Source organism: Homo sapiens, chromosome 6, assembly GCF_000001405.40.
Source record: "Homo sapiens chromosome 6, GRCh38.p14 Primary Assembly".
In the NCBI taxonomy this organism is placed as follows: Eukaryota; Metazoa; Chordata; class Mammalia; order Primates; family Hominidae; genus Homo; species Homo sapiens.
This window is the reverse complement of record NC_000006.12, coordinates 55,396,676-55,408,869: the sequence shown is the minus strand read 5'-3', so window position 1 is coordinate 55,408,869 and position 12,194 is coordinate 55,396,676. Positions and strand designations below refer to the sequence as shown.

The following is a 12,194-nucleotide window of genomic DNA, read 5'->3' as shown; positions in this document are numbered from 1 at the left end:
TTATTTGCAGAGACTAATTTTGACTCATCCAAGAGAATAGGGTATCTGTGAAGACTGCCTAACAAACAACTATTTTAAGTTTCCACTTTTTAGAAGTTATTTCCCATTGTTTCCTTTTATATATTGTATCTCAGCTTTGGCTTCTAAACACTCCCCTCCTGTTCTTAATGGTACACTGATTTGGCATATCTTTTTTACTACCTGGGAAACATTTATTCCTTTACCCTTTCTGAGCTACTAAGGCAAAGGTGTCTAGCCAATAGATAAGTAGTCTAAACAGTACTTTTTTGTGGAATGGAATTCTCAGAAAAGAGGAGTGTATTAGTCCATTTTCTTGCTGCTATGAGGATACCTGAGACTGGATAATTTATAAAGAAAAAGAGGTTTAATGGACTCACAATTCCACGTGGCTGGGGAGGCATCACAATCATGGTTGAAGGTGAAGGAGGAGCAAAGGCATGTCTTACATGGCAGCAGGTAATAGAGTGTGTGCAGGGGAACTCCTCTTTATAAAACCATCAAATCTTGTGAGACTTATTCACTATCATGGAAAAAACCCACCCCCATGATTTAATTACCTCCCACTAGGTGCCTCCCATGACACATGAGGATTATAGGAGCTACAATTCAAGATGAGATTTGGGTGGGGACACAGCCAAATCATATCAAGGAGAAACCCAGGCAGTGTTGATTCCTCCACTACTCACTGTATTCTGCAACTCAACTGTCAGCTGCATAGCCTTTAATCTCTTTCCTTCTCAATGAATGAATGATCTCCAAGTATCTGGAAAAGTTTTCATTAAAAGGTGATATTTATTTTGCTAATACAAAACAGTCAACATTTTTTTCATAATAGACAAATTTTGTTCATTAGTAAATAGAAAATCCTAAATTGGTAGAACTTGAGCACTTCCATAGATGTCAACATAGAGAAACACTGTCTTAGGTGTGGACTATTTAGTTCCAAATAACAAAATGAAAAGTATAACTTAAACCCAAGTAATCTGATTTACTTGTTTGAAGCCATTTTACTTTGTATTTAATTGGTGAAGTTAATCTAGACTTTTGTAGCATAAACTATTGGCTACCTACCCAAAAGCCCTCTCTTGTTCATCCTTGCTAATGGATTTTGTTTGGGAGTCCACCCTTCTCCTAGGTAATTCAGGGTCAATTCTGACTAGACTAAGTCAATTATAGTAATTTGAATTCCCTTGTTTCTATGTCTTCAAATAAATCCTGAACTGTACAATCCACTCAGCAACTGTAAGCATGGCAGAAAAGAAAAATTCGAGTCCTTGAAGATTTCATTGAGCCATTAAGTTCACCAATCCTATAGATGCTTTCATCTGGAATTTATGTTATAGGAATTATGTATTTTTTATTAAGATTTTTAATTTCAGGTAAAAGTATTCCACCTCATACATGTGATTCAGACATGCAAGTTAATAACAATAATACTTTAGAGAAGAATATTTAAAATAGATCTTTCCTGGTCCTTTTTTAAAGTATAAGAATTACATAATTACAGTTGGAGATGGCTGGTGATAAAGCTTAGAAATTAAGATGGAAGATTCTGAAATATGATATATCTGTCCTCAGTTACCAATTTTCTGCTCTGAAGCTTGGGAAATTGCTTAACTTCTTTATCGGGTTTTTTATTTTTTATTTTAATTCTGTAAATAGACAATTGGCACAGAGTTTGTGTCAGACTTAAACTACATAATGTATGTAAAGCATGTAGAATAATCTTATATAGTTTAGTTGCTTTTACTATTTTCTGTAATCCCACTGATTAAAATAATTATATTGTAATGAGTATGTGATGTTTGTAGATATGTGTTCCACCTTTGAATTTATGACTACTCCTTTTCTTATGTTTACATTTCCTTTTTAATACCTTCTGCTACTCTTAAGAGGCATAGTATCTTCAATACTCACTAAATTAGAATTTTCAGGCAGAAGAGTAAAAATTACATTTGTTTCCAAGTATTGAAAGAATGTGGCCAGGCGTGGTGGCTCAAGCTTGTAATCCTAGGACTTTGGGAGGCCGAGGTGGGTGGATCATGAGGTCAGGAGTTCGAGACCAGCCTGGCCAATATGGTGAAACCCCATCTCTACTAAAAATACAAAAATTAGCCAGGCGTGGTGGCGGGCACCTGTAAGTAATCCCAGCTACTCAGGAGGCTGAGGCAGGAGAATCGCTTGAACCCGGGAGGCGGAGGTTGCAGTGAGCCAAGATTGCACCACTGCACTCCAGCCTGGGCAACAGAGCAAGACTCCGTCTCAAAAAAAAAAAAAAAGAATGTAACACATGGAATTAAGCATTCACTAAGCATTTAATTATACTGACCATTATAAAAATATAATGACCTTCTGCAAAACCAGTCATGTAACTTCTGCAAAACCAGCAATGTAACTTACATTAGAAAAATCAAGTGAAATCTCAAAAATATTTTAATGTAATTTTGTTTGACTGTTTGCCACCCTAAATAAATATTTGAATCTGACAATATTGCCAAAATTTAATTTTAAACCACTGTGTTTTAAAGGCATGTTTCCTTCTTAGTAGAACCAAGATTATAAACAACTGTATTATGGAAACCCTTATTAAAGATACATTTATTGCAATTGACTTGTCTAAGGTTTTGGAAACACCAATTCTACTACCCTAAGTTTTGGGGTGCAATCAGTGTGGTCTGAATAGACATTGAAGCCTCAAAGAGGCACTTTGGGAACAACTTGAGAAACTCCAGTGCAGTAAATCATTGCAGCCCAGATGGTATTCATCTCAGAGTTCTGAGGGGGAACACGTTGTGAAAGAACAGAGCAAGCAGACAGGGATATGTAAAAATTGCACTGTTGGTTCATACAGGGTACATGCCAACCCGGCACTGCCTTTAAAGCGGTGGTGCCATCGTTTGACCATTAGTCACTCAGATTTGACTCCTGCATTTGTTGAGCTCACAATTTGAAAAATTTAGAATATTTTTATTCTAAAAAATAAAAAAATATTCTATTCACTCAAGTCATTTGTATTCATTTCACTGTACATGGCAATGAAAAAGGATGCATGTTTTAATAACCCCAAGATCTGTTTCTCAGGACTCTCACAGGGAATTCAAAAGTAGGAACAGACGCAAGCCTCAGCTTTGGAGTAACCACAAAGTCCCTGTTTTCCTACTGCCCTAAAGCCCTTTCCAGAGAGACCTTTCTGACTCACCTTGCAGAGTTCCAGCTTGTACAGCTCGGCTGACTCCCGGGTCCCAGGAACACCTGTGGGTTTTATGGAAAGGATTCTGTGAAGGAAAAGAGGCTGTGGGTAAATATGCAGAAGCAGCTAGGGGTACAAAAACTTATTAGGAAAGAGACTACTCTGGAGGGAATTTAATCAGTGGTCAAATTATTCTGCGGGGAGGTCTGTGATCTGTGCCACCTGGTGATCTGGCTATCCTATCCTACAGCATTTTTCCCCCTAGAAATCACAAGGGTAAATTTGCTTTCTCATCTGGGGTGAGAGAGATGTAAGGAAGATATTGGACATCTTGAAATTTAATTGTTCTAGCTTGATCCCACTTACCAGTGCCAAAATCATATTTTCCAGTTGACTATTAGGTGACTCCACATGGATATGTCACTGGTGTTAGGAAGTCAATTGATCTAAACTTGAAATATTTACCAGTGTCAGTCAGGGAACCAACAGGAAGCAGATGGGATACTCCAATTAGAATAAACTGCAAGTTATCTGAAATTGGATGACTCTTAAGAATGCTTGATTTAGGTACTCTTTATACAGGTGTAGGTAGTTGAAAAACCTCAAGGCATAGTCCAGTAACTCAGGAATGGCACTGACTGAGCTGTTAACACCACTAAGCCTGCAGGGAGAAGGCCTGGAAAGGTTTATTGCCATCCAGGAAAGATGTGTGTAGAAAAGGCCACACTGATAGAAACAATTGAAGGAAACAGCCAGCCTGTGGGGACATCTCAGCAAGGAGTCCAGGAGAATTTCTCCCCCATTTTCTACCATTTCTCACTATCGACAACCAAATGGAAGCCAGAGGACAAAGGGGACTATGTTGCATATATGTCAGCCTCCTAGGGGTGTATGAGAGGTGGAGGAAAATTGGAACAGACCCTAAAATAACTAGCATATTCCCCTTTCCCATTCCAAGTTCCACTTGTATGAGCCAGTTTTCTAATTGGCAACACGGTTTACCTAATGGCACAAATCAAAATATACTCAACACTCATTCTTACCATGATCCTTACAATCTCAACTCATACAAATATCTGACCCCAAGTTTCCATTGATTCTAAATTGTGAGATTTGTGAAGTGCCTTCCATTCTCTCACATCACTGCTAATTTTTCTCTTCACATCACTCTACCATCACTGCAGCCTGTTCACTTCTTTATGGCATCTATCACTTTCAAAAATTACCTTGTTTACTTTGTTTTTCAAATTTACTGGAAGACTGTGCTCAGGATTGTATCTCCAGTTCCTAGTACAGTGGCTGATACATAGTATATGCTTGATAAATAAGTATTGAATGAATAAATTAGTGCAGGCTTCCAATACTTATTAGCTAACTAATTTAGTTACACTTTAAAGCAGTCTCTTCAGCATCAGTTTTAGTCCTTTATAGTCCATTTCTATGTCTGCTAGCATAACTTTTTTTATTCAAAAATCTGCTTAAAATTATTTTGCAGCACTTTGTAGGATTCCAAATGAAGCAATTCTGTCACTGAACACTTATTTATTGAGCATACACTATGTGCTAAGGAATAGAAAACAAAGATGAGCCAACAGACTCAATCAGGGTGCTTACAATTTACTAAGCAAAAATAATAAACGAAGCTGCGGCAGTGAAGTGTAATAGTCTAAGATGGGGGATCACCGGGTGCTGGGAAGCACTGAACAAGAATCTTTGAACTACAGGGAAGAAAATGTTAGGAAAGGCTTCCCAGAGGACTGAAGAGTAAAAGAAGACAACGAATATGGGGACCATGTCCTATGAGGCCCACACTCCACTTTTATAGGTGTCTCCTTAGCCTGGTATCTCAGTGTCTTAGTCCTGATGTTTACTAGCTGTATGTCCTACACTTTCTCAATTTGGACTCTCTGCTCTAGAGATAGGTGACTATTTAGTGTTCCCTAAATGCTTCATGCTGATTCCCCCTTCTGTGGTTTTGCCTACTTATTCCTGCTGTCCTAAGAGACAAGATTCTGTTTCCTAGGGAAGCCATCCATTTTACACTCTGTTCTCCCCTTCTCTGCTCAACACAAGCATGTTTCTAGAAGGAACTTGACTTCTTTTCTCAGTTTTCCAGAGAACAGTTTGCATTTTCCCAGACATTACCAAGCCTAAATTAAATGGCAGTGATTTGGAGAAGGAAATCCCTGCATTCTCTTCATGTTAATACTCTGCATTAGCCACTGGAATATATAGAACTCCTTGAGAAACATCTGTGACTCATCAATTTATTCTTCTCTGTTTTAAAAGATAAACGATGGCTTCTCAATTACTTTGAGTAAACATAGCCAAATGTTAACTCCAAATTTAATTTAATGTAGACAGTTTAATCTGAAGTGTAGTGAATAGCAATAGAAATGAGACCAAATGAGCAGAAAATATTTGAATTTTAATTGTAAATATGCCACGGTTAGTATGATATCCTCAGGTTATTGAATATTTGTGCCTCTGTGCCACTATAGATAATACAACCTCATGGTTATTATGAGTAATAGGTACTAGTGTAATTGCAGGCGGTTGAAAAGCAAATATGTATTAAAATTCTAACTAATGAACATATTTTCTACAATTTTCTAATCACAATTATACTCTGATGTCAAACCAGGCCAAAAGTCACAGTATAGGAATATTATAAAAAGTAACAATTATGGTGTTACTTTATTATTGCAGAAGTTCCTCATAATTAGCCTAGAAAGATTTAATTCACAAAAATCTATGATTATTGAAGCGCACATTGACTTTCTTTCAGCCAGTGTAGTTGTTTTACATTTTATGGGAATAAAATGAGATATCAAGGTCAAAAAGTAAAATTCAATAGTATTCAAATTACAAAATTCAAACATGTCACTTCCAATTTTTTAAGGCTTTCATTTAATCAAATATATATAGGAACTTAAAGTCAATGCTAATACGTTAATGACTGATTTCAAAATGGTCGAAAATATACCAATAACACAGACACTGGATATATATATTAACTTTTTTTGGCAAGTTAATGGGAACTTATGTAATTGATCAGAAAAACTGCTAACTATGTCATATTATGATGCAAATAATTAATATGATATGTGTTTATATTCATCATAAAGCAAATTATGCAAAATGTGACTTGGGATAACACTTTTTGCCTTCAAGGGAAACTTTATTTCTGTTCCAGTGTTGTAAAAGATACCACCATATATTTTTTCTTGAGTATTAAGAAAAAAATAACATCATCATGCCATATTATTATATGTAACAAAGCAATATTTTTAAGTCTATTTTAACATTTTCTTTCTCGATGACAGATGGAATAGGGTGTTGACCAGCTGTAGGATTTGCTTTAAAGAAAGTGATTGTTGTCTTGACGTGGTTGCTCACGCCTGTAATCCCAGCACTTTGGGAGGCCGAGGTGGGTGGATCACCTGAGGTCAGGAGTTTGAGACCACCCTGGCCAATTTGGCAAAACCCCATCTCTACTAAAAATACAAAAAAATTAGCTGGGCGTGGTGGCGGGTACCTGTAATCCCAGCTACTCGGGAAGGCTGAGGCAGGAAAATCACTTGAACCTTGGAGGCAGAGGTTGCAGTGAACCGAGATTGAGCCATTGTACTGCAGCCTGGGCAACAAGAGCAAAACTCCGCCACAAAAAAGAAAAGAAAAAGAAAAAGAAACAGAGAGGGGAGGGGAGGAGAGGAGAAGAGAGGAGAGGAGAGGAGAGAAGAAAAGAGGAAAGAAGAAAAGCAGAGAAAAGAGTGATTGTTATAGGTCCATGACTCCTAATGAATCAGAGTTCTCCAGGTATTTGGATCGATGAAGGATCTCTTGCTTTACTTGATATTCTGGAAGTTCTGTATAAAATAAAAGTAAAAGTTAACAACATGCCATTTTAAGGATTTCACAAATGTGCTTGTGTGTGTTTGCATTTTTGCTGGAGTCTGCACCTGGAGGAAAAAACTAATCAAGTTCCAGAATGTAAAGTCCCAATAGTAAAATATCATATTTTCTTTCTAGGGAGCATCACACCTTTAACTATGATGTCCAAGTAATCATTTTTTAAAAAGTCCTTTCTTTTTGTAAATATTTAAATTTTTAGTTGTTTCTCTGCAAACTTCTTTGAAGGCTCTGGGCTATTTGAATATAGCATAACATGAAACAAATGCAACTATCTTATTCCTTACAGAAGACAGGTATTCACATGGGTTGGGCTTGACCATCAGGTGAGTGAACAATGTCTGAAATAGCAATCATTCTTCTTTCTTTAGGGAGCATTATTTATCTCCAGGTGTGGGGCAACACAGGTTTTGTTGCCAATGATGCTTTTGTTTCAGTTTGTTCTTTTTATGATGGCTTTAAATTTTGTCTCTTTTATCCTGGGCCTGGAGTTTTCCGATTACACATTATGATAAATTTTAAATTATATGAAAATAATTTGTAACTAAATACAAATATATTTAATAGTATGAATAATTTGCTTTAAAATACACATTAGAATAAATTCAAAACATTTGTCCATAATAATAATGCCCCCACTGCCATCCAAAAAAGGGATATGCCTTCTATGCAGGTGAGAAAAAAGACGAAGTTACAGCAAATACATAGGGAATTATGAGTAGTCTATATCTTGTATCTGTAGCAAAACAGTAGTATCTAAAAACCAGTGGGATCATGGAACAGGTGTAAATTTTATACATTCTGTATGTAGTTAAGAAGTAAAGATTGAGAACCATTAAAGTAAGATGTTTTTGCCGGGCCAGAAAACTGTCCATATTTTGTTGTAACAATGTTTGTCATGGAATATCTAGGCAGGAACAATAACTAAACAGTGTTCTCAAGTACTTAAAACCAAATAAAGTAAACTTTAATAAATTCCAAATGCTATTTTTCCCTCTTAGCAATGGACTCTAATTATTTGGCTTTCAACCCATATCTTAGAACCCACGGAATGTCTTCTCATACAAATGTAACTTTTAAGGCCTTGGAGAAAAGCAGTGTGTTTTGGTACTGATTTTAGTTAACAACAAATTAAATGCTTAGAGGGATTGGGTCCAAACAGTGGATACATTTTGTTTAGCTGGCATTGCATTTAAAAATAAATAAATTAGGATGTCCGTATGTACCTGACCCCTTGGTATCACCGTACACCTTCTCATGCCAGTCTTTTATTTGCCTAATTGTCAAGGCCTTTTTAAGTCTGAGATCTCTGGAGGAGCAAGATATGTTTATATGTATTGTAGAGTTGACTGAATTAATCTTTCTAGGTGTCAGATGTCATAAGGTAAATCTCCAGTGAATACTTCTGTTCCTCTGAAGGCCCAATCTTACTGATATAATTTGTGTATGTACTTACATGTATATATGGCTGTATACACACTTATGTATATTTCTTCATTAACATTTATGCTACTCAAATTTTATAGACATGTACCCATATGTGTAAAGAATAAGCAAATGAACATGATTGATGTTTAAATGTGAGTTTTTTTTAATTAAAGGCAAGTCTACACTATTTTATGTATAGTTGTAAATGCTAAATAAGTGGAAAAATTTTAAACACTAGACGTTTAGAAATCTAGAGGTTGATGTATATCTCATCTCAATGTCTCACATGCCTGCTGGAGCATTACTACATTCCAGCAATAAAAGCAGCCAAGATTTGGAGAATAAATTAATGTCAGGCAATGGTAATGTCTTTCTAGGGGCACTCTGTGAGGCTTTATGAAATGTCTTTTTCAATAATTGCCTATTAAAAATGAATAAAATGTATTAGCATATAAGATATTAGAGTGAAGAATACATCTTCAGGTAAATACAAACTGTATGCAGTAAACAATAGGTCAGTTATGTGAGCCTATCAATCATGCAAATGATTTGAATAACAAATGCAGCAAAGTTCAATTTGGATTTGGTAGGGAAGCCAAGGGGAAAGATGGATAAGAGTTTAATTGGAAGGAACATACAATGCATATGTGCTTATGAAATGCAACATAAAAAATCTCCTATGATCACATTTTCCTTATGTAGGAAGACTGAAAGTAACGTTTCCATGGACCTATGCCACATAAAACTTGATTTAATATGTCTTAACAGAGAAGCTTTCATTCTCAGGCTCTTTGTAAGCTCAGCCATTGTGCAACATGCTTTAACACAGCTAAGTGACTCCCTTTCAGACCTTTCCTTCTAATTTATATTCAGTTACCTAAGCTTGACCATAACCAACAGAAGGATTCCACAGGTGACTGTCATGCACATGGCAGCATAGATTACTTCTCCTAGAAAAAGAAAAAGATTAAGAAATAATAGTCACTGGATTTTTAGAGGAAATAAATAATATAAATATTATAGAGGATTGATTTTTAACTGACCATTGAAGGGGGAATGAAATCCAGTTAAAGTGATTTTGTTTGCATGTTTTCTTGTATACAATGCCATGCCTTTGACATTAGACAGGGTTGGATAATCTGAAAGAAAATCATAAAAATGAGATTAGTTACATATCATACATTATTTTAATTTTATGGATTACAATTTGCTTTATCTTTTAAGGCAGCAATTTATTTCCATTACATTATTTTAATCTGATAGATTTGAATAAAACTAGGAACAATTTTCTTAAATTTTAACAGCCTGTTTTTCCCCTTTTAATCAGGTAATTTCCGTGTATAAGCTTTTATTTTTTGCAAACCAAGATTAGTACAATGATTATATTTTATAACATAAATCATTGTATCTTATATACAGACAAGAAAAATAAAAGATGGTTACTTTAGGCCATCTTTGGGATATTGAAAAAGATCCTTTCTTTACAAAAGTGATTATTTTAATGTACCTCTGCACTCAGATACTGGAATACCTAGTTTTGCTTTTTTCCCTTGTTCTCTTTTTCTCTCTATTAGCTAAAACTTCAGTTTCTCCTGTTACCTATTTTTGCCTCCCTTCAGAGCTATTCCTGGCCATTCTGAGGTGCTAGTCTTCTTGGCCATGTTTCTGAGAAATACATTCCCACCAGTTTCCAATAGCTCACAATTTTAGAAATCATGCTTTAGAGTGACCAGTTCATAAAAACAAATCTTTCCCTGTGAGGACAATCTTTTCTCTGGCTTTTCTACTTTAACAACAGAAAGATGCAATTGTTACAATTAACTGATAGATCTCTTTTAGGTGATTTTTATCAATAACTTTAAAGTGAAATCACTCCGAGTTTTGAGTAATTGTACACAAATATGAATGTCAAACATACCAATAGTTTAGTAACCAATTTATGTAATGAAAGCTGGTTTTGAGGCAGTAAGAAAAATGAGATAAAGCTCCCATTTTAGAGAGGTTGCGGTCTTCTGTTATAGATGCTTCCTGCATTTTTGAGACCTGACACTAACTATGAGTAGACAGTTGTTTACAAAAATGAATGTATCAAACAGTGGGATATTACATCCGATGAAAACTAGTGACAACAGACTCTGAGCAGGAAGGGAGATAAGAAAATCTACAGTCATGCATTGCTTAATGATGGGGATATGCACTGAAAAATGCATGCTTAGTCGATTTTGTGCTTGTGTGAACATCATAGAGTGTACTTACACCAACCTGGGTGGTATAGCCTACCACATGCCTAGGCTATATAATATAGCCTTTGTTTTTAGGTTACAAACATGCACAGTGTGTGCTATTGTACTAAATACTTTAGGCAACTTTAATGCAATGGTAAATATTTGCATATTTAAGCATATAAACATAGAAAAGATACTATAAAAAATACGGTATTATAATCTTATGGGACCACTGATGTATAGTCTGTCTGTCTGTCATTGACCAGAATGTCCTTACGAGGTACATGACTTTATTAGCAAATGTTCCATTCAGTTATCTCTCCACCTAGGGCTGCTGCTATTCAGAAGACAGCTTATTGGGAGCCAAGATTTGAGCACTGTGTTAACAATAATCAGTAGAGAGATAGATTGGAGTTTCAGACCAGTAGTAAACCTCCCAGAGTGGGTCAGAAAGCAGCAGCCCAACACAAGACTAGAAAAGTGAGGATTTTGTCATTAGAAAACTCATTCTCAGGGAGTCTGAACTCAAATACAGTTAAGGCATTTTTTTTTTTTTTTTTTTTTTTTTTGAGACGGAGTCTCGCTCTGTCGCCCAGGCCGGACTGCGGACTGCAGTGGCGCAATCTCGGCTCACTGCAAGCTCCGCTTCCCGGGTTCACGCCATTCTCCTGCCTCAGCCTCCCGAGTAGCTGGGACTACAGGCGCCCGCCACTGCGCCCGGCTAATTTTTTGTATTTTTAGTAGAGACGGGGTTTCACCTTGTTAGCCAGGATGGTCTCGATCTCCTGACCTCATGATCCACCCGCCTCGGCCTCCCAAAGTGCTGGGATTACAGGCGTGAGCCACCGCGCCCGGCCGGCATTTTTTTAAAATAGTTTTAGTCTCCAATTTGCATATTGGATTACCATCTATTTAAGAAACCTCCAATGTGGCTGATGCCTGTAAAACCAGCACTTTGGAAGGCTAAGTTGGGAAGATCACTTGAGCCCAGGAGTTTGAAGCCAGCCTGGCCAACATAGCAAGACCCCATCTCTAAAAAGTTTAAAGATTAGCTGGGCATGGTGGTGCACACCTGTAGTCCAAACTTCTCTGGAGGCTGAGGTGTGAGGATCACTTGAGCCCAGGCATTCCAGATTGACGTAGCTGTGATCAAGCCACTACACTCCAGCCTGGGTGAAAACACCAAGACTCTGACTCCAGAAAAAAAAAAAAAAAAAGCTTCCCCCTTGTTAGAATGCAAAATAAACCACTTAAGAATGTAAAAGTAATAGAGGTAGAACTTGTGAATTATTTTTTACTTTTGTGATTGTAAAATTACTTTTATATTCACTATAAAGTTGCAAGGGGAAAAATGAGAAATTTTAAATAATACTTTTTTTTAATAAGGGGTCCTTGAAAAAAATTAATTTTAATCACAT

At 36.4% G+C, this 12,194-nt stretch overlaps 1 protein-coding gene across 1 annotated transcript in view; it reads right to left on the bottom strand.

Annotated features, from left to right (window-relative positions):
* Positions 1–6,376: 6,376 nt before the first annotated feature.
* GFRAL (GDNF family receptor alpha like) overlaps positions 6,377–12,194 on the bottom strand; it is a 75,025-nt gene continuing 69,207 nt past the window's right edge. The window contains exons 7-9 of the mRNA NM_207410.2: positions 9,595–9,690; positions 9,429–9,501; positions 6,377–7,080 (exon numbers count right to left, since the gene is read on the bottom strand). Of these exons, the coding sequence (NP_997293.2) occupies positions 7,017–7,080; positions 9,429–9,501; positions 9,595–9,690 (233 nt within the window). The 3' untranslated portion in view covers positions 6,377–7,016. The remainder of the gene's footprint in view (positions 7,081–9,428; positions 9,502–9,594; positions 9,691–12,194) is intronic.